The following is a 24,872-nucleotide window of genomic DNA, read 5'->3' on the forward strand; positions in this document are numbered from 1 at the left end:
GATTGTATTACTTACCTCATCTTCCATCCACTTACTTGAGTCTTATTTTTCTTTCAAGAAAAAGTATGGAGCTATCACTGAATTTGTTCTGCATCTCATTAACTGCTACTTCTTTTGAGTTTACCGTTCTTTTACTTCTGTACCAGTTGTTTGGTCCTTAGCATATGCTAATTTGTATTTTTAAAATTTGTGGTAAAACACATAAAACATAAAATTTACCATCTTAACTATTTTTAAGTGTACAGTTCAGTATTGTATATGTAAAACCGAAACTCCGTATCCAGCAAACAACTCCCCATTGCCCCCTTCCCTCAGCCTCTGGCGACTAGGATCCTATTTTCTATGAATTTGACTATTCTAGATACTTTATAAAGTAAAATCATACAGTATTTGTCATTTTGTAACTGGCTTATTTTACTTAGAATAATGTTCTCAAGGTTCATCCATGTGGTAGCATGTATCAGAATTTCCTTCCTTTTTAAGCCTGAATAATATTCCATTGCCTATATAGACCACATTTTGTTTATCTGTTCATTTGTTTATGGACACTGGGTTGCTTCTACCTTTGACTATTGCAAATAATGCTGCTATAAACATGGGTGTCTAATTTGTATTTTTAAATATTTTATAAGTATGACTCCCATCTCTTTATGTCTATGTTAGTCTGAGATTTGGAGGGTAGTGACTGTGTTTTAAACCTGTTGAATCCTTGGTGTCTAGCATAGCACTGTGCCTTTTTAATAAACAATGTGTAGTAATTATTTCTTGATGAGTAGAGCAGATTTACTTTGTTAACTCTTCTTGATTATTTTTAATTCTTTGGGGATAATTAGTCTTTCTATCATAAGTTGAAAGAAGGCAAAACCAAACTTGCCTTCAAAAATATATTAATCTCAGAAATCTTAGCTAATTACTCAAAGGCAGCTAAAAAGCTGTTTTTTTTTTTTGGTGCTCAATTAACTTTCCTGGTCATTCTCAATGCAAACATATGACCTGGAAATCATGATTAACAAGAGCAGTCACAGATTTTCTGAAAGAAACAACAGCTATTTTGGTGACCTTTTCTCATCTCTTCCCTGGTCCTGCTGTATGCCAGTAGGTAACAATAGAGACTAGACTAAATTTTAGTTTAATATATTACAGGTCTAGAAGGAATAAGAGTAGTATGTAGTTCTTTTGCCTTCTTTTTTTCTAACTTACTTTTCTAAACATTTGTTTCCAAAGAAAAATCATCTCCAACTTTGCAGAGCATCTAACATAAGAAAGTTTTTGAGTTGGCTACTCATAGCACTGTATTTTATAAAAAAATTAATAATTTTTTTTGGCTAAGAAATCTCTTTTAAAAGAAATTATTCACAAGTAACTGTCTTTTATAAATGTTCATAAGGCTAGTAATGCTCTACTTTTTAGTAAACTAATAAGAGCAGAGACTTTTCAAAATGAATGGCTATCTTCTTATATATAAATATGTATGTATATATGTATATATATGTGTATAAGAATATAGGCACATATATATATATGTCTGTCTGTGTGTGTGTGTGTGTGTGTGTGTGTGTGTGTGTATTCTGATTTCTTCCTTTTCCCCCTCCAATGTAAATTCTTTACCTGTACTGATTTGAAAGGACTGTATCATGACTTGACCTTGCAATTTCTAAGAAGTTAGTCTTAGTTTGGTATTACTACATGTATTTTATTTTATTTTCTCATTGTAGCGGACTCAAAGTTTCAGAATCCATGGAGTTTATTTAAATTAATTCTTTGGTTTGTTTGTTCATTTGTTTATTCATTCACTCACTTAGCATATATTTGAAAATTTACTGTGTTTCAGACACCAAATGCCATGACCCGTGCACCTTATTTCATTTTCAGTGATGCCATATAAAGGCTGTCATCTAAAAGGACAGGATGTCTCATGAAATGTGTTGTTAATATTGGCAAACACTTTCATCAGTAACTTTAAGTTCAAATCTTTGATAGCAGCTACATGAAAAGAATATTATGTCAGAAAGTGTTGTCATGTTGCCATTGTGTACAATGTGGGTGGTGCTGTTTTAGAGGCAAAGAACTGTTCACTTTTTATGTTTAACTGTATAAATATAAATTGTCTAGAAGGCGAAGTGGGAGGCAAAACCTTGAATAGTGTCCTTTCTAATATGTTTCTAAGTTCCTTGTAGCACTACACAGACCACATTAGAATGCATTGACCATCAAAGGGAAAAACAAGCTATCCAGATAGATACTTTAATCCAAATTAGCTCCTTCCAAACAGCTTATATAGAGGGCAAACTAAACTGTCACAAGCTGACCCTTTAGAAGGAATAATGGGAATTGGACCAGCAGATGTTGAACCAAATAAGTTAGATGTGGTTCACTTTGCATCTGGAGCTATTTGCATACAAAGCCAACAGGAAAGTTCAAACATTTTTCTCAAGACATTGGCAGAGAGAAACCTGGAAGACAGATGCCTTTTGGATTTCATGGTTCAATTTTTCCATTCTCCATTCTGTCCAGGAAAACCTAGGACAACAGATCGGTCATTTTATTAATATCCCATTACTCTCCTTACTAACCCTGTTTTTCCAGTAGAATCTGTGTTACATATCTATGAGAGCTCAGAACCTGAGTCCACAAATTTTTGTTTGAGGAAAAATTGTCTCAATATTTTTCTTCAGATTAATCTGTAGTTTGTACCTAGTAATAATGAATGTTAATCAAATTCATTTGTCTGATTTATATTTGAGGTAAAATTTGAAGGTGACTTATTACATAGTCACATATGTGCATTATGGTAGGCAGTATAGGTAATGCTTAAAAACTTTCCGTCTGTCTTTGTATTTACATTAGACATTTTTGTCAGGACATAAACCAGATTTCTGTTGAAGTCTAATAATTTTGTAGTGCCTTTACACAGATTATTTGAATAGAAATTTGTCACATATCTTCTTTTTGCTACATCTTGTATTTTCTGTTTAACTCCTAGGTTATTAACTCACCTTCTTTTACTCTGGAGCCAGTTTTTAAAAATGACGCCTAAAATGATAGCTTCTATAAAGCTGTGAATTATTACTGTACATATAAATACTAGTCTTGATGTGGGTTTTCAGTAATTTATTGCAGTTCATGTTTTTATTAATGCATATGATAGGAAGTATACAGTGATATTTGCTATGCTTCTGAAGATTAGGTTTATTATAGTGTGGATTAGAGTCAAATATCCGTGTTGTGGAGTGAGGATTTCTGTCTTTGCCTTCAGCTAACTATGTAACTTCTGTGAATCTCAATTAGCAAATCTATAAATTGAAAGACTAGATGATATCTAAACAATTCTTTGAGATTTTGAATTCTCAGTTTAGTATTTTATTTTCTGGTCATAGTGTCTGTAACATGAATAGCTTTTACTAGGTGAATTATGGTGCCTGGTTTAACTGTGTGGTATAACTGACAGTACTAATCTAATAAATTACGGTGGTTCTAAAAACATAGAACACAAATATTAATGTGAAGAACTATAATTCTTAAGAGAAACCTTGTCTTTTTCGGTATCTTTTAACAATCAATTACTGTTCACATTGCTTTTTCTAACAGTATTTTATGGTACCTGCTTTATCTGTTCTATCTGAATCTGAATTTGCTTTTTAAGGACTGTGGTGTGCATTTTAGGATATTTTAGGATATATTTAGAGAAAAGTAAAATAGTTTGAAAATAGTGCTATAGGGATTTTCTGATACTGCTAAAAAATGAAGGTTTGGCAATGAGTATTTTTTCTATAATATGAAGATAGTGCTCTGACTCTTTATAATCCTAAGTTAGCGCCCCCCGCCCCACCAAAAAAAACCACTGGAAATAAAACAAAATTTAGATTCCATTTAGCTCAGAAACAGTAGGAATCATTGCCTACCATTCTTATACCAGTATATACAATTCTCATCAGCTATCCATCCTGAATTACATTTTTTGGCCTCAGAAAAGATACTTTTTATTGTTTTTGAGAGACACACGTATGTACATATATATATATAGTATAAGGGTATGAAAGAAAAGGGAAATAATGCAAAAGATATACAGTGAAAAATTTTTCTTTTATCTTAGTTCTCTAGTCTCACTTCTGATGCTATAGTTTTATAAATTCTTTTTTAACCATCCCAATATCTTCCAGGCATGTACAATTGTGTCGTGTCTATTTTTTTAAATAGAGATGACAGTGTATTATATATACATAGTAATACTCCTTGCTTTTTTTTCCACAATAATTTGGAGACCTTTCTGTAGAAGTACTTATAGATTTTCCAAATTCATTTTAGTGGTCGCATAGTACTGTTTTTTAAGGATATATTATTATTAATGTAACTAGTTATTTTCACTTCAGTTCTTGCCGTTACAAACAGACCTGTAGTGAATATTCTTGTATTTTCAGCAAAGCTATTTTAATTAGGATGATAATGTATATTGTTTCTGTGACTTGAAAGATTATTTAAAATTAACAGTTTACTTACTAATTTTACTAATATAAACATAGAACAAGACATGCTCTTTGACTCTGAACAGTGTCAAAATTTATATTTGAGGTCATATATACCTAATTAATATATATACCCAATTAATATATTAATTATATTATATGTTATATAAATTATTTATTATATATAATTATATAATTATATATATTATTTATTATATATAATTATATATTACTATATAATTATATATAATTATATTATTAATATATAATTATATATAATTATATAGTAATATATAATTATATTATTAATATATAATTATATATAATTATATAGTAATATATAATTATATATAATTATATATAATTATTATAATTATATATAATTATATTATATATAATTATTATAATTATATATAATTATATATAATTATTATATATAATTATATATAATTAATATATACCCAATCTTAATTATATAATACTTAATTATATGATTAATAATTTAATTATTAATTATTAATTAAAAATTAAAAATTAAAAATAATTAATAATAATAACTTTTTGAGACAGAGTCTTGCTCTGTTGCCCAGGCTGCAGTGCACTGGCACAATCTTGGCTCACTGCAACCTCTGCCTCACGGGTTCAAGAGCTTTTCCTGCCTCAGCCTCCTGAGTAGCTGGGATTACAGGTGTGTGCCACCATGCCCAGCTAATGTTTTGTAGTTTTAGTAGAGATGGGGTTTCACCATGTCAGCCAGGATAGTCTCCATCTCCTGACCTCGTGATCTGCCCACCTCGGCTTCCCAAAGTGCTAGGATTACAGGCGTGAGCCACTGTGCCCAGCTGGATTATATTTATATAATAGAACACCATACACCTGGAAAATTAACAAACTATAGCTACATATTAACAACATGGAAGAATCTCATGACCATCTGTACTGTTCTCAGAGTACCTTTAAGAGATCAGTAGGAAGCCTTAAACTGACAGACTGTTCTATAATGTTAGATTCTATAACACCACATTTTCATAGAATCTGTGAAGTCTAGAATATCAGTCTCCCCTTTGGTTCTGGAATTCTTCTTGTTCGTTAGAATGAGGGCTCCATTATTTTGGCCACAGAGCTATATCCAGGACTGCTTCAGAGCAAGCCCCGTGTCTGAATCTTCAGAGGGTAGAAGTCATCATCCTGTTTACTCAGTAGGGATGGCATGGGGAAGGGAGGAGGGAGTAGATTTTACCTAAAATCTACTGTGGATGAATAGTGCAATATGAGACTAAGAAAAATTTTTGAATCTGACCTCAAGTGTCTGGTATGGAGGTCACAGACTAAGACTGGACCTGAATCAAACAGAATAACCTCCATCACTCACTTCCTCCCTCCCTTTACCCCTGAGATTCTTGTATTGGACTCTTGGGCCTAGCTGTAGCTGGAAACAGTAAATGCTTTTGCTGTATGAATTTTCAAGTGGCCAGACAGGGTTGAGGGACCCACAGGAACATGAGACTTACAGGACAAGTACAACCAGAGGTTCTGACAGATATGCCCTATGCACATTTGGCTTGATGTCTCTGTACTGATGCCCGTAATGAATACTGTTGTTGCTAATGTGTATTTTAAATGAACTTATACTTTGTATTTACTCAGGTTGAGTTTTCATGTATTTCCTCCCTCTTTTTAAAGGTTGGGCATTTGAGCTTCTTAAACGGTGTCTCTAATTCTTGGTGGTATTCTCCTCTGTATTTGTGGTACTTCCTCTTTGTGGCAGGCGGAGTGGGAGGGTACCATGATTTCTTGAGATTCTGGAATCTTCCAACCCCTTTTTGTGCCCATTCTCTCCTTGTGATTATCTATTCCATATCCCACCCATCAGCAATTTCTGTAGTTTCTAAGTTCATTCAAACCAGGGATGTTTTCAGTTCTCTCTACTTCCTTGGTCACTATCTCAGTCAAAAGCCACCATCATATCTTTCTTAGATGACTTAAGCACCTTTTTTTCCTGCATCCACTCTCAGTGTCTGCTCCCCCCAACCAACCCTGCCACCCATGACTCCATTATTTTAAGTGGCACCAGAGAGGGCTGGGACACAGTGAATGATCAGTAAATGTTACCTGTTTGTGACATTTGATTTTAAAGTTTAGAAATGTGTAGGATTTATGTTTTCATTTGTTGTGGATTCCTGAATATCAATAAAACATGATTTGATTATAATTTTGGAGGTTGTAATTTTGACTTATGATATTCCTCTGAATATTTTGTTGTAATTCCTTTGTTGGGCACTAAAGATTTGTACCTGTTATTAGGAATCTCCTGAATAAATTTTACAAACTAATTGCAGTTATAAAATCCTCCATGATTTGGGTATTGCTGTTGTGCCTAATCAAAGTTTTTTTTAGTCCCAATTCTGATTTTTGTATTAATTTACATGATTATATTGGCTTGCAGCTAGTATGCATTAATTTTTTTCCTTATTAAAGCATTGCTGAGGTGATAATCATTTTTAATAATGATTTAATTAATAAAAATGTTTAATAATGATTTAATAATTTCATTAATAATGAAAATTTCCTACATTTACATTAAAACGGAAAATCTTCTAGATTTGTTTTTTTTGGAGTGACTGTGTTAAAGGCTAGTTTTATTGTGGACCTCCTCAGATAGATTGTTTTAGTTAATGGACCTTCCCAAGTAATTTTAGAATAAATCACAGAGACTGCCTAAAGTACTTAGAACACAAAGATGTTTAGAGATATACTTTAGAACTGTGAATCAATAGGGAAGGTATTACTTAAACTTAATCCTATAGAAAGTTTGCTAAAGATATGAAGAGTTTGATCATTTTGTATCTGTCAAGTCTGAGGCCATAGAAAAGTGGATAAAAGGTGATTTAGCTGGTTTGGAGGAAACTTTAATTCAATGTGGCTGACAATACAGCGTTGACAAAATACTGTAATCAAATATTACACACAATTTGATTATTAAGAAATGCTTTAGTTATGTAAATCAACTGTTACTTTTCTTCATCTCTTAAAAATTTACGAACACAATGTTAATTTTATTTCAAGGAAACATTTGCTGATAGAATTGTACATTAAATGTGCGAATAAACATTTACTCAACTCATCAATCCATTAGGTTCCTAAAGGAGCAACCTTAAAGTAATTTCAACCCTTGGTCTTATAATCTAAACACAAGTATTTTGCGTCGATGGAATATGTTTGATTAAATTTGTGAAATTTACTTCTCCTGATTTTTTAAAAGACAAACTAGATTCTCATTGGTTATGATCCTGCTTGACGTTAGGAGGTAAGACTGTTTACGTTCAACCTTCTATTGTTTGATTTCTCCCCCATTCAACAAATTATTGTATATCAAGCACAGGTGAGACAATGGGGAACAAACAAGACAAACAAGATGTTTGCCTTCCTGGCTTTTGCAAACTAGTAAGGTACACCGAAATTAAATAATTATTCAGATTCTTACTTAATTATGACTAGGATACACTTTTAAGGGGAGATATGGAGTGCCAGCATAGCGTGTAATAAAGGGATAGAGAGAGTGAGGTAGGTACCGCATTATAGCTAGGAAGAATATCAGATACAGGCAGTGTTTGAGTTCAACTCAGGATTAGCAAGGCAAACGCCTATGATGTTAAGGGAGGCAGGGCTTACAAAAAGCTTTACAGCAGAGACAGAGGGAAACAGAGAGCATGTTTTCAAGTGTTAACTTTTGGCAATGTAGATACACTGTCAATTTTATATTTGTTTTCTGATTAATTTCTCTTTCATGATCATTATTTTCTATTGTCTATTTTATTGTTTATTATATTTTTCCTAATTTTGTAAATTTTATGCTTATCTTACTACTTTTAACCTTTCTTTTCAGACAGAAGTATTCCAGGCTATGATTTTCCCTCTGATTACTGCTTTAACTGTATCTTGCCAATTTTATTTTTAAATTACAATTTTCAGATTAAGTGATACTTGAATTTTTTAAAAAGTATTTCGTAATTTCCAAGTATGGGGCTTTTCCAGTTGTTTTTATTGTTATTGTTTTCTAATTTGATTGCTTTTTATTGTTATTGTTTTCTAATTTGATTGCTTTTTGGCCAAAGAAAGTTATTAGTTTGGAAGTTATGTACTCTGCTTCTTTTCTTTCCGTAGTATCCCTGGAAATTTTCATAAGCATTCTTAACTCACTAAAACCTGAAACTAATTAGTATCTTTAGCCTCCTCTTGAAAAATACAAAGAATGTGGAACATTTGAAATTTATTAATTTATTCTTTTGTTATTATGCTATTGTGTAGCATTTTAAATGTGTATATATATAAGTATTGTATATGCATATGAAATACATACTCAATACATAATATATGCTATATATTATATATAAATATAGATATTATATATATAAGTCCACAAGACATTATTATTAGCAGTATTATGCTTGTTTGGAAATACTTATTCTTGTTAGATAGATTCCTCTAGCTTTTAAATTGACAGTTATTTCTTTGGTCTGCACAACGTAGATATTACTCCGCCATCTTCTGATTTCCGTAATTGTTTTGGGAAGTTAGTTGATTCCATTAGTTGTTGTTCCATTGAAGATAATTGCTCTTTTCTTTCTGGATCACTTCATGATTTAACACTATGTAATTGTTCTGTAGTTTTACTGTGATATACTACATAAAGATACCTTATTTTCTTTGATTAGAATTTTTTGGGCTTCTGAATGTATGGATTGAATCTTTAGATTTAAGAAGCCCAAAAAGCTCAACAAATTAATTATGGGAAGTTTTATTACTTCTGAAAATTCTTGGCCGTTGTTTTTACCAATGTTGTTGTTGCTCCATTCTCTTTCTCCTTCTGGAACTCTAGTTAGTGTTAGTAAAGTCGCTTTTTTTTTTTTTTGAAAAAAAATTAAAAAACTCTCTCTACTATGTCCATTAACCTCTTTTTCACGTTTTGGCTGTTCTGCCATCTGAGTAATTTCAGATATGGCTTTTATTTCACTACTTCTTTATTGTCTAAGGTGATGTAAATCTGTCCATTGAATTTATAATTTCAATTTTCTTTCTTTCCTTCCTCCTTCTCTTTATTCATATATTCTGCTATTTGATGCCGTAATGCTCTCAAAAGTGAAAAACTATTCATGTGAAAAGGAAGCATATGGGGACCTTATGTGCTAGATTCTGATATTAGTGTGTTTCTACTGCTAAGACATTTGTACCTTTAATGCACTTTAGAGTATTGTATCATTATTGTAATATATGCTTATGGCCTAATTAGAAATGATGTCAACTGTGCTTGTATAAAAATTCTTTTTTTTTAAATTATACTTTAAGTTTTAGAGTACGTGTGCACAATGTGCAGGTTAGTTACATATGTATACATGTGCCATGTTGGTGTGCTGTACCCAGTAACTCGTCATTTAACATTAGGTATATCTCCAAATGCTATCCCTTCCCCCTCCCCCCACCCCACAACAGGCCCCTGTGTGTGATGTTCCCCTCCCTGTGCCCATGTGTTCTCATTGTTCAGTTCCCACCTATGAGTGAGAACATGCGGTGTTTGGTTTCTTGTCCTTCTGATAGTTTGCTGAGAATGATGGTTTCCAGCTTCATCCATGTCCCTACAAAGGACATGAACTCATCCTTTTTTATGGCTGCATAGTATTCCATGGTGTATATGTGCCACATTTTCTTAATCCAGTCTATCATTGCTGGACATTTGGGTTGGTTCCAAGTCTTTGCTATTGTGAATAGTGCCGCAGTAAACATACGTGTGCACATGTCTTTATAGCAGCATGATTTATAATCCTTTGGGTATATACCCAGTAATGGGATTGCTGGGTCAAATGGTATTTCTAGTTCTAGATCCCTGAGGAATTGCCACACTGACTTCCACAATGGTTGAACTAGTTTACAGTCCCACTAACAGTGTAAAAGTGTTCCTATTTCTCCACATCCTCTCCAGCACCTGTTGTTTCCTGACTTTTTAATGATTGCCATTCTAACTGGTGTGAGATGGTATCTCATTATGGTTTTGATTTGCATTTCTCTGATGGCCAGTGATGATGAGCATTTTTTCATGTGTCTTTTGGCTGCATAAATGTCTTCTTTTGAGAAGTGTCTGTTCATATCCTTCGCCCACTTTTTGATGGGGTTGTTTGTTTTTTTCTTGTAAATTTGTTTGAGTTCATTGTAGATTCTGGATATTAGCCCTTTGTCAGACGAGTAGATTGCAAAAATTTTCTCCCATTCTGTAGGTTGCCTGTTCACTCTGATGGTAGTTTCTTTTGCTGTGCAGAAACTCTTTAGTTTAATTAGATCCCATTTGTCAATTTTGGCTTTTGTTGCCATTGCTTTCGGTGTTTTTGACATGAAGTCCTTGCCCAGGCCTATGTCCTGAAGGGTATTGCCTAGGTTTTCTTCTAGGGTTTTTATGGTTTTAGGTCTAACATTTAAGTCTTTAATCCATCTTGAATTAATTTTTGTATAAGGTGTAAGGAAGGGATCCAGTTTCAGCTTTCTGCATATGGCTAGCTGGTTTTCCCGGCACCATTTATTAAACAGGGAATCGTTTCCCCATTTCTTGTTTTTCTCAGGTTTGTCAAAGATCGGATAGTTGTAGATATGCAGCATTATTTCTGAGGGCTCTGTTCTGTTCCATTGGTCTGTGTCTCTGTTTTGGTACCAGTACCATGGTGTTTTGGTTACTGTAGCCTTGGAGTGTAGTTTGAAGTCAGGTAGCATGATGCCTCCAGCTTTGTTCTTTAGGCTTAGGATTGACTTGGTGATGCAGGCTCTTTTTTGGTTCCACATGAACTTTAAAGTAGTTTTTTCCAGTTCTGTGAAGAAAGTCATTGGTACCTTGATGGGGATGGCATTGAATCTATAAATTACCTTGGGAAGTATGGCCATTTTCACGATATTGATTCTTCCTACTCATGAGCATGGAATGTTCTTCCATTTGTTTGTATCCTGTTTTATTTCATTAAGCAGTGGTTTGTAGCTCTCCTTGAAGAGGTCCTTCACGTCCCTTGCACGTTGGATTCCTGGGTATTTTATTCTCTTTGAAGCAATTGTGAATGGGAGTTCAGTCATGATTTGGCTCTCTGTTTGTCTGTTATTGGTGTATAAGAATGCTTGTGATTTTTGTACATTGATTTTGTATCCTGAGACTTTGCTGAGGTTGCCTATCAGCTTAAGGAGATTTTGGGCTGAGACGATGGAGTTTTGTAGGTATACAATCATGTCATCTGCAAACAGGGACAATTTGACTTCCCCTTTTCCTAATTGAATCCCCTTTATTTCCTTCTCCTGCCTGATTGCCCTGGCCAGAACTTCCAACACTATGTTGAATAGGAGTGGTGAGAGAGGGCATCCCCTTTGAAACCAACGAGAACAAAGACACAACATACCAGAATCTGTGGGACACATTCAAAGCAGTGTGTAGAGGGAAATTTATAGCACTAAATGCCCACGAGAGAAAGCAGGAAAGATCTAAAATTGACACCCTAACATCACAATTAAAAGATCTAGAGAAGCAAGAGCAAACACATTCAAAAGCTAGCAGAAGGCAAGAAATAACTAAGATCAGAGCAGAATTGAAGGCGATAGAGACACAAAAAACCCTTCAAAAAATCAATGAATCCAGGAGCTGGTTTTTTGAAAAGATCAACAAAATTGATAGACCTCTAGCAAGACTAATAAAGAAGAAAAGAGAGAAGAATCAAATAGATGCAATAAAAAATGATAAAGGGGATATCACCACCCATCCCACAGAAATACAAACTACCATCAGAGAATACTATAAAACACCTCTATGCAAATAAACTAGAAAATCTAGAAGAAATGGATAAATTCCTCGACACATACACCCTCCCAAGACTAAACCAGGAAGAAGTTGAATCTCTGAATAGACCAATAACAGGCTCTGAAATTGAGGCAGTAAGTAATAGCTTACCAACCAAAAAAAGTCCAGGACCAGATGGATTCATAGCCGAATTCTACCAGAGGTACAAGGAGGGGCTGATACCATTCCTTCTGAAACTATTCCAATCAATAGAAAACGAGGGAATCCTCCCTAACTCATTATATGAGGCCAGCATCATCCTGATACCAAAGTCTGGCAGAGACACAACAAAAAAAGAGAATTTTAGACCAATATCCCTGATGAACACCGATGCAAAAATCCTCAAGAAAATACTGGCAAACCAAATCCAGCAGCACATCAAAAAGCTTATCCACCATGATCAAGTGGGCTTCATCCCTGGGATGCAAGGCTGTTTCAACATATGCAAATCAATAAACGTAATCCAGCATATAAACAGAACCAAAAACAAAAACCACATGATTATCTCAATAGATGCCCAAAAGGCCTTTGACAAAATTCAACAACCCTTCATGCGAAAAACTCTCAATAAATTAGGTATTGATGGGACGTATCTCAAAATAATAAGAGCTATCTATGACAAACCCACAGCCAATATCATACTGAATGGACAAAAACTGGAAGCATTCCCTTTGAAAACTGGCACAAGACAGGGATGCCCTCTCTCACCACTCCTAAAAATTCTTTTTTTCTTAGATCCATGACCTATGTAAGTAATTTATGAATTTATATTCCTTGATTATTTTTAAAGACATTTGGCATCTTTATGTAATAGAATATTGTATGTATGTATGTTTGTGTGTGTATATTTAATCATGTAATATATATGATTTTCAGAATTTTTGAGTTATTTTTCTTTAAAAAGAAAGGGAATTATTATTGGTAATGATAGTACTGTTGAATAAACCTGATGTCATTTTGGATTCACTGGGTGTAAACCAAAGAGATATATTTGTTTTCTAGAATCTCCTACAGTAAAGTGAAATAAACAGGCAATCATACTTCACAAGTGCATGAGGAAAATAACTATTTTCTTTCTCTTAATGGGAAGGATATAAATTATATGAATGGTGGAAAATGTTTCACATTTTCCTGTTTCTATCATATACAGTGTGCAGTTCCCTGTGTAACTCATAAATTGATAAAGATCTTGGCTGAGGGGTAGATTGTAGTATTTGCCTTATTCAGATTGCTGAGTACTGTTAGGTTCTTGAGTCTGAACCAGCCTTTCAAGGTCTTGGGGCAAATGATTTTTTTCATTTTCATAAAAGGACAGTGATTTTTTTATGTTTGAGAGTATAGAAATTTAACTGGTCAAATTTACTTTAGAAAAACTGTTTATTGTTTTGCCCATTGTGAATATTAGTTAAGATTTTTGTAAGCTAACAAAAAAATCGAATGTTACAGAATCTGTGCTATAATCCCTGTGTTCATCTGTTGAAAATTATATGTATATTTTTAAAGGTTTATATACAGTTATGTGTGTAATTTAGAGAAATTTCAGCTGTTTGTATTAGGTATTAAATTTTTAATTATGTTTTGCTTACCTGCTAAGACTTACGGGAAATGAAATTTCAGAGATATGGTATCAGTTTTCCTAAAGGCTAATTGAAGCCATATTTCATAAGCTTATAACTTACAGTGATATAGTTACAAGTTTGGTAAGTAATGTTAAATATTTCTCTGTAAGATCACGCAGAGTAGATGTTAAAATTAACAAATGTCTGAGAACTGAAAAAGCCTGGGTTCAAATATATTTTTATAACAATAACCCCAAAACTGACCTTCTTCATAGTATTGAACATTTTAGAGATTTATAAATGACATTGTCACAAAGGGAATTTCTAATACTCATCATGAATTCTATAGGTATTACCTCAATTAAATTACAGTTTGGGTTTTTTCTTTGATGAGGATAATAAATTTTTGGTATGTCAGATGTTCTTTATTTTAAAATTATATTGACTTTTAGCTAATTCAGTTATTTAACTTTTAGCAAAAACTGAATACAACTGCATTTGGTAAGTACCATTATAGGTTGAACATCCCAAATCCAAAAATCCAAACTGTGAAATGCTCCAAAATCCAAAACTTACATGATGCTGAAAGCAAATGCTTATTAGAGAATTTTGGATTTGGGACTGTCAAATTTGGGATGGTAAATATTCTGAAATCTGAATACTTCTGGTCTCAAGCATTTTGAGTAAGGAGTACTCAACCTGTAGTCAATTTTTTTCTATTTCTTGCATCAACCCTCCTCCTTTTTTTCACTTTGATCAAGTAGGTCAGATTTAACATCTCATCTGGGCTATTATAATACTAATTTAACTGGTTTCTTTGCCTTGTAATTCATTCTATACATGGTTTCCAAAATAATTTTTATGTAGTCATCTTTACATAGTAGTTAGTTTAGAACTACCCTAAGTTCTTTTGTCTCTCTTTCAAGGGCCTTTGTGATCTGGTAGTAGCCAGACTGTAGACTTTTCATTCACTGTTATCCTTGTCATACTAGTGGCCCAGTGAAACTGAAAATTACTTTGTACCTCCCGGCACATATTTGCAATTTGTTCCTACTTCTGGTTCTTTGTTCTGGTTGTGCTATTCAGCTAAAACATTTTCTCCATCTCCGCATGTTCAGATCACACTCTTCCTTCATAGCCCAGTTTAAATGGCTCTTTCTCTACTGAGCTTTTCTGTCAGTCCTCTAGCCTGCCTAATCCCAAATTTTGAAGTGACTGTTCTTTTTCATTAATTACTGTTTAGTTTCGTCTGTGGCATTTTATACTGTTAGCTAGTCTCTTTTTCATTGTCAGTCATGACACTGCATACCCCTGGTTCTTTCCTACTATTCTGATCTTCCCTTTTGACTTCTTTACTTATCTTCTCTCTCCCTTCCTCTTAACAATTGTTTTTAGGGTTTTGTCCTTGATCCTTTTATATTTTCACTTCGATGAAATCTTTTAATTGAAGATATCCAGATTTATGCCATCATTCTTGACCCTTCTTTGGAGCCTTCCTGCCTTGATCAATATGTAACTTAAAGTCAGCATCTCTAAAACATATCTCCCCTTTTACTGTTCCACACTTGAACTCTTATTTCTTTTCGCACTTAATAAAATCACTGTTCATCTAGGAGCATAAGCCAGATAACTACCTGTATAAGTCTTTCTCAAGTCTTTTTGTTTATTCAGTATAGTTAGGACTGGAGTGTCTGTAATCATCATGTTCCTTTTGAACTCTTTACTTTTCAATTATATTGAAGTACTTGCTGTTCCCTAAACACATCCTGTGGTTTCATGACTCTGTAGCTTTTAATATGCTGTTCTCTTTGCCTGGAAAGTCCTAGTAAGAATTATACAGACTTGGATATGAATCCTGGCTTCACCATTAACAGCTATGTAACCTTGGTCAACTTAATTAGCCTTTCAAGTACCTGTTTCTTTATTTGTAAAATGGTAATAATATATACTTTAAAAAAGTATTGTGAAAATCAAGTGTGAATATGCACATATACATGCATACATATTATATAACTTATATACAGGTATATTAATATGTACAATAGTTAATTATGCATATACGATTACAATGATAATATATACTATTAAAGATTAAATGTGTATATATGCTTGATATGGTGCTGTTTAAATACTCATTTTCCTCTTTTTCTTACCTTTCCTCTCTTGCAAGCTCTGTGTCATATATTAAGCTTACCTTAGGATCATTAGTTTTGTGAAGTCTTTTTTTTTTAAATATGATGTAATCCTTTTCTTCACTGTACTTGTATTTTAATCTTCCAAATCTTTTATGTGATATAAAAGTTTGTCTCTGTATCTTTTCTAGAATGTGAGCTTTAGGATTGGGAAACTGTCTTGTTTATATTTGTATCCTCTTTAATAAAACTTTGAAATAGCATCTTATGAGACCCCTCAAGTTAAGTACAGAAGTCATGCACGTATAAGTATATAGACTTTCCTAGGAGAGAAGTTCATAACTTCTTTTAGATTCTCAGAGCAATCTATTCTTAAGGTGAAGACTTACTGGCCTAGATTTTGATGCACAAAACAAATATTCCACTGAACTAAACCATGCATTTCCTGACCCTGGGAAGGGAGGCACCAGCTCCTTTCTGGTTCTGAATCACTTTGGTGGGAGAGTAAATGGAAAGCTGCTGATCCCACTCCTCACTTTCCTGACTCAACTTTTGGTCCTCCAGCTCTTTCAATTATGATTTTGTAATTAGAAATTTCCCTATATTAAATCTTTCCACTTGAAATTTCTAGGGAAGTTTGTCTATTCCACTAAATCCTTTTTTTTTTGTACTAGCACATTATAAGTTTTGGTTGAATTAATAGAATATTACATGAAAAAATGCTAGAAACTTTATTTTTCTTTCTGTAAAGCATATTCTCATGGTGCTGGACAGATTAAAAAACAATATATTTTCTTTGTAATATCTCTGTGTATATATACGATGCAGTGTTCATACACTTTTGTTTATGCAGTCGGGTGTGGTCTAAAATATGATAACATCATATCTACTATTTTAGATATAGCTCATATTTATCTGCCTCCTTCATTTGAGTAGTTGAGAATATAAACAGAGGAAATGGAATTAAATCTCCAAATGTATTTGATTCTTTTTAAAAATTTGTCTCAAAGGCACTCTGATATGAGCAGAGTGTCACCTTTTAAAAAGTCAGTGTACAGACTAGAACAGAAAGTACACAATTCTTTTCTCCTGTATTTGATCTATTTAAACTAGCAGTCATGCTTGTATTTTGATAATACTATAAGATTTTAGTAGAACTTTTTAATAATCTTATACAGTTGAATAAATCTTTTATGTTTTATATGTGAAGAGAAAAAATTATTTTTGTATATTACTTTCAAATTCTTCTACTCTTGTAACTATTTCTTATAGGTCTTTCACTTTTTTTTCCTGTATACATCTCTGATGTTTGGATTTACCATCTGAGTGTGTTTTATGGTTTAATTCAGTCTGAAATACTGCATTTACAACATGACACTAGCTGTAAAAACATTCTGTCTGTGAGGTAATAACTGATCTTACTGTAGTTGTCATTTCTGTTGAATGAGTAATATATAATATAGAATTCTTTTTATAGTCTATATGTCTATAATGGTGATGGATTAGATCTTGGATTAGAAGAACATATAGGTAAATGATTTGTATACCTTTGTAAATACCCTTCTATTAAAGATAATTGCTAATTAATGATTAGTGAGTTACTAAACCTTTTATTGAGATATACTGTGCAGCCTGATGCAGTGGCTCATACTTGTAATCTCAGCACTTTGGGAGGCTGAGGCAAGAAGATCACTTGGGGCCAGGAGCTCAAGACCAACCGGTGCAACATAGTGAGACCGCGTTTCTTTAAAAAAAAAAAAAAAGCCAGGTATGGTGGCATGCATCTGTAGTCCCAGCTACTTTTAAGTCTGAGGTGAGATGATCACTTGAGCTCAGGAGTTGGAGACTGCAGTCAGCCATGATTGTACCATTTTATTCTGTCTTTGGTGACAGAATGAGATTCTGTCTAAAAAAATAAATAAATAAAAAGATATCCTATGCAATATGGCTTTCTGTTTGAGACTTGTACTGTCCATTTTTTTCCATCTCTGTATGTCTTCATTTATCAATTACTTTTTCTAGAAAGTGTTTGAAGCATTGATATTTGGCAGTAGTCTATTTGGTCTTAATGCTATTTAGTCTTAATAAATTTGGAAGTTTTTATTCATTAAGCAATTTTAGGAAAGATTTCAGTATCATTGTTGTATGGACATGGTATTTGTATCAGTCATGGTTCAACCAGAGAAGCAGACCCAGTAGGAGATACATGTTATAAATAGTTAGCTTACATGAGTGTGGAGCTGACTAGACAAGTCTGAAATTCATAGGCTGTTCCATCAGGAAGGGCGGGTTAGAACCCATAGGCACAGGTTGAAACTGCAGTCCACACACAGAATTTCTCCTTTACTAGGGAAGTCTCAACTCTGCTTTTTAAGACCCTTCAAATGATTGAATCAGGCCATAATTATCTAGGGTAATCTCTTACTTAAAGTAAACTTATTATGGACTTTAATCACATACAAAATACCTTCACAGCAACATCTAGATTAGTGTTTCATTACTAGCTTATCCAAGTTGACATTTCAAAAGGCTATCACAGTATTCTTATTTTCTTTTGTGTATGTGTATGTTTCTCTGAATCTATTTAAGTATAGGTTTTGCTATAATAATTATTATTTTTCCTTAGTCTGCCATTAGCAACAGTGTTGTTAGAGTAGTGTATAGAAAGTAGCTGACATAATTAAAAGGGAATGATTTTAACCCAGTCTTTTGATCTTGTTTCTGTTTTTGCAGTTTTGTAAGTTTTCAGAAACTTGCTGACCATTGTTGCTGAAAGGACATACTTTTTTGGTTTGACTTATCCCATAGTACCTTGGATTTAATGTTAACAGTGCGAAAATCTGTTTGAATATTTCTCCTATTTCTCTTATCTGTGCATGTATAGAAAAGACTTGTAAACTGTTGAATTGAAATATTGATTGAAAAGATATTTTAAAAGATAAAGGAGCCTTCTGAATATCATAACTTAAAGGTAGAAATGTACATATATCTCAGGTAAAAGACAAAAAGGATAACTAAAAGAATGAAGATGAACTTTACTCAGAATATTTACAATGAATAAAATACAGCCTCACGTACTACCGTTAAGTTGGTAATGCGTTTTATTTTTCTTACCTTCGATAATTTCCACCATCCTACCAATACAAAACATTTTTTTACTCCAAGTTAAATCTAATTAAGATGATTTAAGGAGCATTGGGGGATAATGATGCTATTTATTATAGAAGCTGACTACTCTGTGTGCTTTTGCATAACCACAGCTTAGCTACCACTTATAAGTGAGAACATGTAGTATTTGTTCTTTTGTTCCTGACTTACTTCACTTAGATAATGGCCTCCAGTTCCATCCAAGTTGTTGCAAAAGACAATATTTCATTCTTTTATATGGCTGAGTGGTATTCCATGGTGTATATATACCACATTTTCTTTATGCACTTGTTGGTTGATAGGCACTTAGATTGATTCTTTATCTTTGCATTTGTGAATTGTGCTGTGATAAACATACACTTGCAGATGTCTTTTTGATATAATGATTCCTTTTCATTTGGGTAGATATCCTCTAGTGTGATTGCTGGATCAAATGGTAGCTCTACTCTTAGTTCCTTGAGAAAGCTCCATACTATTTTCATAAAGGTAGTTTAATGAGGTTCAATTTATTTATTTTTGTTTTTACTGCATTTGCATTTGGGATCTTAGTCATAAATTCTCTGCCTAGGCCAATGTCCAGAAGCATTTTTCTTAGGTTTTCTCCTAGAATTTTTATGGTTTCAGGTCTTAGATTTAAGTCTTTAATACATCTTGGGTTAGTTTTTACATATGGTGAGAGATAGCGATCCCGTTTTATTCTTCTACATGTGGTTATCCAATTTTCCCAGTACTATTTATTTAATAGTATGGTGTCCTTTCCCAAATTTATATTTTTATCTGCTTTGTTAAAGATCAGTTGGTTGTAGGTATTTGGCTGTATTTCTAGGTTCTCCATTCTGTTCTATTGGCCTATGTGTCTACTTTTGTACCAGTTCCATGCTGTTTTGGTTACTATAGCCTTGTAGTATAATTTGAAGTCAGGTAATGTGATACCTTCAGATTTTTCCCTTTTGCTTAGGATTTGTTTCTTTGAGCTTTTTTTTTGGTCCCATATGAATTTTAGGATTTTTTTTTTTTTTTAGTTCTGTGAAAAATGATGTTGGTATTTTGATAGGAATTGCATTATATCTGTAGATTCCTTTGGGGAGCATGGTCATTTTCATAATATTGATTCTTCCTATCCATGAATATGGTATGTTTTTCCATTTGCTTGTATCATCTATGATTTCTTTCATCAGTCTTTTGTTGTTCCTGTGTAGATGTTTCATTTCCTTGGTTAAGTATATTCTTAGGTATTTTATTTATTTTGCAGCTGTTGTAAATGGGATTGAGTTCTTGATTTGATTCTTAGCTTGGTCATTATTGGTGTATAGCAGTGGCACATTTTTTTTGTTTCATGAAAGTTAATGGTTGTGTAAAGGTTGAGTATCCCTTACCCAAAATGCTTGAGACTGGAAGTTTTGCAGATGATAAGAGTTTTTCGGATTTTGGAATATTTGCATATATATAGTATTTCTTGGGGATGAGACCCAAGTGTAAACATGAAATTTGTGTTTTATGTATAGCTTATACATATAGCCTGAATGTAATTTTATACAATATTTTAAAGATTTTTTAAATATGAAATGAAATTTTGACTGTGACCTGTCACATGGGATCAAGTGCAGAATTTTCCATTTATGATATCATGTGGATGCTCAAAAAGTGTCAAATTTTGGATTATTTTAGATTTCAGGGTTTTGGATTAGGGATGCACAATCTGTGTTAGTAATGAATTTAGTGGGGGTATGTTTGTCTCTGCCAGGCATGCTATTCTTTTTCAGCAGTGAGTGTGTTTGACATGGTCTGGTTCTTCTGAAATCAGATTTCTCTTGTAGCATATTTAACAGGAATTTCTAAAGTGTTTCTTATATAAGGATAGCACTCTTTCTAATTGTAAACATTCATGATACAGCCTTTCTTCTTCTTTTTTTTTATATTGAGTAGGTTTTTTTCCATTGGAGTATTGGAAAAAAGGAGTTTTCTAGGCATGTACTTCTTGTTATATGGAATACTGATAAACTTTGTTTTCTTGCTAAAATTTTAGTGTGCACAGGTAGCTTTTGAAGATGTCTAATGCAAATTAGGCTTTCTGGACTGTCTAGCACCCTTTGCTTTCACCCTTTGTGATTATACTTTTTTGTATTTAATGCATATCTATAGAAATAGTGATTGTTGGCCGGGCATAGTGGCTCATGCCTGTAATCCCGGCACTTTGGGAGGCTGAGGTGGGCGGATCATCTGAGGTCAGGAGTTCAAGACCAGCCTGACCAACATGAGGAAACCCCATCTCTACTAAAAATATAAAATTAGCCAGGTGTGGTGGCACATGCCTGTAATCCCAGCTACTCAGGAAGGCTGAGGCAGGAGAATCGCTTGAATCCAGGAGGTGGAAATTGTGGTGAGCCGAGATCGCGCCATTGCTCTCCAACCTGGGCAACAAGAGTGAAACTAGGTCTCAAAAAAAAAAAAAGAAAAAGAAATAGTGATTGTTAGCCAGTCCTTCTCCATCTCCTTAAATACGACCAGATATTACTTAGGTTTAATGAATTGTATATGTTGGGATGAAAGTAGCATGACTGTATTCGTGGTCAACAGTGAGGATTAAAGATAGGCTGTTTACTCTGAGATATATTCTTTCTTTTTTTGCCTAGTCGTTGGACTACCACCTGTGAAATAGCGTATATTAACTGTCTCTTCCTACAAACATTCTAATGAAGTAAGGTTTTTACTATGTGAAACATAACTCTCTTTGTATGAACTCAACGTTTTTTGAGGAATATTCTCTAAACGGAATTCTAGTATGGAGGGTTGGTGGAAAGAGCACTGCTTTTAGGAATCAGAAAATGTCCATTGTAGTCTTAATCTGTTAATGTTTGACAGGATAATTTAGGCAATACTTGATTTTTTTTAGAACTTATTAATTGTAAAATGTGAAAATGGAGAGGATTGAAATGGTTATCTAAGGTTTCTTCTATATGCTGTCTCGTTTGCAGACACTGGGATGTCATAACCAAGTGAGAAGTTTTTCAGAGTTTCTCTGAAGGGGCTTTCGAGATGAACAGTTATTTTCTTGTTGAATTTGCTCCTGTTCGAGGTTGGAAACTGAATCTTGCAGACTCACTAATCTCATTTTATCACTATATTGAGAATAAATCCACCTCTCAGAGACAAGCTAAGCTTATGAAACTTAAATATGAAGCCTGAATGTTAAGTTAATTTACAAGGAGAAATTTCTGTGCCAGAGACTGGAATACTCAAGGTCCATTCTCTCCCTACATGCAGAACAAATGTTAAGTCATATTATGATCAAAAGGTACATAATGAGCTTGGAATTGGAATAAAGAGAATTAAATAAATCGAGTTTAATGATATTGCAGCAATTTGCCAATAGGACTGGCAAAATTTAAAATGTTGGCTTAAGTGCCCTTTCTCTGGATAATACTTAGATGAACCCTGCCAGTGTTTATCTGTGTTTCTTTATTTAAATTTATTTCCTTTATTTAAGTTTCTATGGCTGATTTCCCAATCTTTCTGATTGATCTTATTATTTATCTAAATATATTAACTGGATAAATTAATATTTTGTATTTTAGTCTTTCTGGCTTGGGAATAGCTAGCTCTCCTTTATTTAGGAGACTTTGCATATCTATGTTTTGATCACCTATTTGATGATTATTCTGATAATTTTACTTCGTAAAGCAATTCGCAAATCATTATAATTATTTATCATAAAACTTTTAAAAGAAAAATAATGTTGTTCTGCTCATTTTTTAAATGAGGAACCTAAGGCTCAGTGTCTACCCTGGAGTACTGAGCTCTAATGTAGAACTGGGATGTGAATCTAGTTCTCAAATCCAAGTTCTTTTTCTACAGTATGCTTTCTAATTGGAAGTGGCTTGAGTCAAGGGAACACAAAGAGCTAAGTATATATTTAAGGTATTTTAAACTTCCAATAAAGAAGTTTTTTTTTTCTTATCTAAGTTATACCTTCATAGACATTAAAATAAAGCTTCTTTTTAAAAAACTTTTATTTTAAGTTCAAGGTTACGTGTGAAGGTTTGTTATATAAGTAAACCTGTGCCATGGGGGTTTGTTGTACAGATTATTTCATCACCCAGATATTAAGCCTAGTGCCCATTAGTTATTTTTCCTGATCTTCTCCCTCCTCCCACCCTCCACCTTCTGGTAGGCCCCAGTGTCTGTTGTTTCTCTCCATGTGTTCTCATCATTTAGCTCCCACTTATAAGTGAGAACATAGAGTTTTTGGCTTTCTGTTTCTGTATTAGTTTGCTAAGGGTAATAATGGATTTTAGCTCCATCCATGTTCCTGCAAAGGACATGATCTCATTCCTTTTTATGGCTGCATAGTATTCCATGGTGTACATATAACACATTTTTAAAATCCAGTTCATCCACTGATGGCCATTTAGGTTGATCCCATGTCTTTGCTATTGTGAAATGCTGCAGTAAATGTACACTTGCATGTGTCTTTATGATACAACAATTTATATTTCTTTGGGTATATTCCCAGTAATGGGGGGACTATTGGGTCATATAGTAGTTTGTTTTTAGTTCTTTAAGGAATTGCCACACAGCGTTTCCACAGTGGTTAAACTAATTTATACTCCCACCAACAGTGTATAAGTGTTTCTATTTCTCTGCAACCTAGCCAGCATCTATTATTTTTTTGACTTTTTAATAATAGCCATTATGACTGGTATGAAATAGTATCTTACTCTGGTTTTGATTTGCATTTCTCTAGTGATCAGTGATGTTCAGCTTTTTTTCATATGCTTGTTGGCTGCATGTATGTCTTCTTTTAAAAAGTGTTCATGTCCTTTGCTCAGTTTTTAATGGGGCTGTTTTTCTCTTGTAAATGTGTATAAGTTCCTTATAGATGTTGGATATCAGATCTTTGTCAGATATCTAGTTTGCAAATATTTTCTCCCATTCTGTAGATTGTCTGTATACTGTATTAATACTTTCTTTTGCTGTGCAGAAGCCCTTTAGTTTAATTAGATCCCATTTGCCAGTTTTTGCTTTTGTTGCAATTGCTTTTGGCATGTTTGTCATGAACACTTTGCCTGTTCCTGTGTCCAGAATGGTATTGCCTAGGTTGTCTTCCAGAGATTTTATAGTTTTGAGTTTTACATTTAAGTCTTTAATCCACTCTTATGTTAATTTTTGTATATAGTGTAAGGAAGGGGTCCAGTTTCAATCTTCTATATGTGGCTAACTAGTTATCCCAGCACTATTTATTGAATAGGGAGTCCTTTCCCCATTGCTTGCTTCTCTCAGCTTTGTAAAAAATGTGATGTTGTAGGTGTGAGGCCTTAGTTCTCGGGTCTCTCTCCTGTTCCATCAGTCTGTGGATCTGTTTTTGTAGCAATAGCATGCTGTTTTGGTTACTGTAGTCCTCCTGTAGTACAATTTGAAGTCAGGTAGCATAATGCCTCCAGTTTTGTTTTCTTTGCTTAGGATTGCTTTGGCTATTTTTTGGTTCCATATGAATTTTCAAATAGGTTTTTCTAGTTCTGTGAAGAATGTCATTGGTAGTTGAATAGCAATAGCATTGAATATATGAATTGCTTTGGGCAGTATGGCCATTTTAATGATATTGATTCTTTCTATCCATGAGTGTGGAATGCTTTTGCATTTATTTGTGTTATCTCTGATTTCTTTGAGCAGTGTTTTGTATTTCTCATTGTAGAGGTCTTTCACCTCCTTGGTT

At 33.5% G+C, this 24,872-nt stretch overlaps 1 protein-coding gene across 34 annotated transcripts in view, besides 1 other annotated feature; it reads left to right on the forward strand.

Moving 5' to 3' along the window:
- Positions 1-24,872, forward strand: part of CCDC91 (coiled-coil domain containing 91) — a 359,711-nt gene that overhangs the window by 72,600 nt on the left and 262,239 nt on the right. The gene's annotated exons all lie outside the window — the stretch shown is intronic.
- Positions 18,167-18,367: a silencer, noted in NCBI's record as "peak1637 fragment used in MPRA reporter construct". NCBI's record gives its function as "represses an SCP1 promoter by STARR-seq MPRAs in K562 erythroleukemia cells {active_cell/tissue: K562}" and the evidence as "EXISTENCE:reporter gene assay evidence [ECO:0000049][PMID:32103011]".

Source organism: Homo sapiens, chromosome 12 (assembly GCF_000001405.40).
Source record: "Homo sapiens chromosome 12, GRCh38.p14 Primary Assembly".
Taxonomy (NCBI): domain Eukaryota; kingdom Metazoa; phylum Chordata; class Mammalia; order Primates; family Hominidae; genus Homo; species Homo sapiens.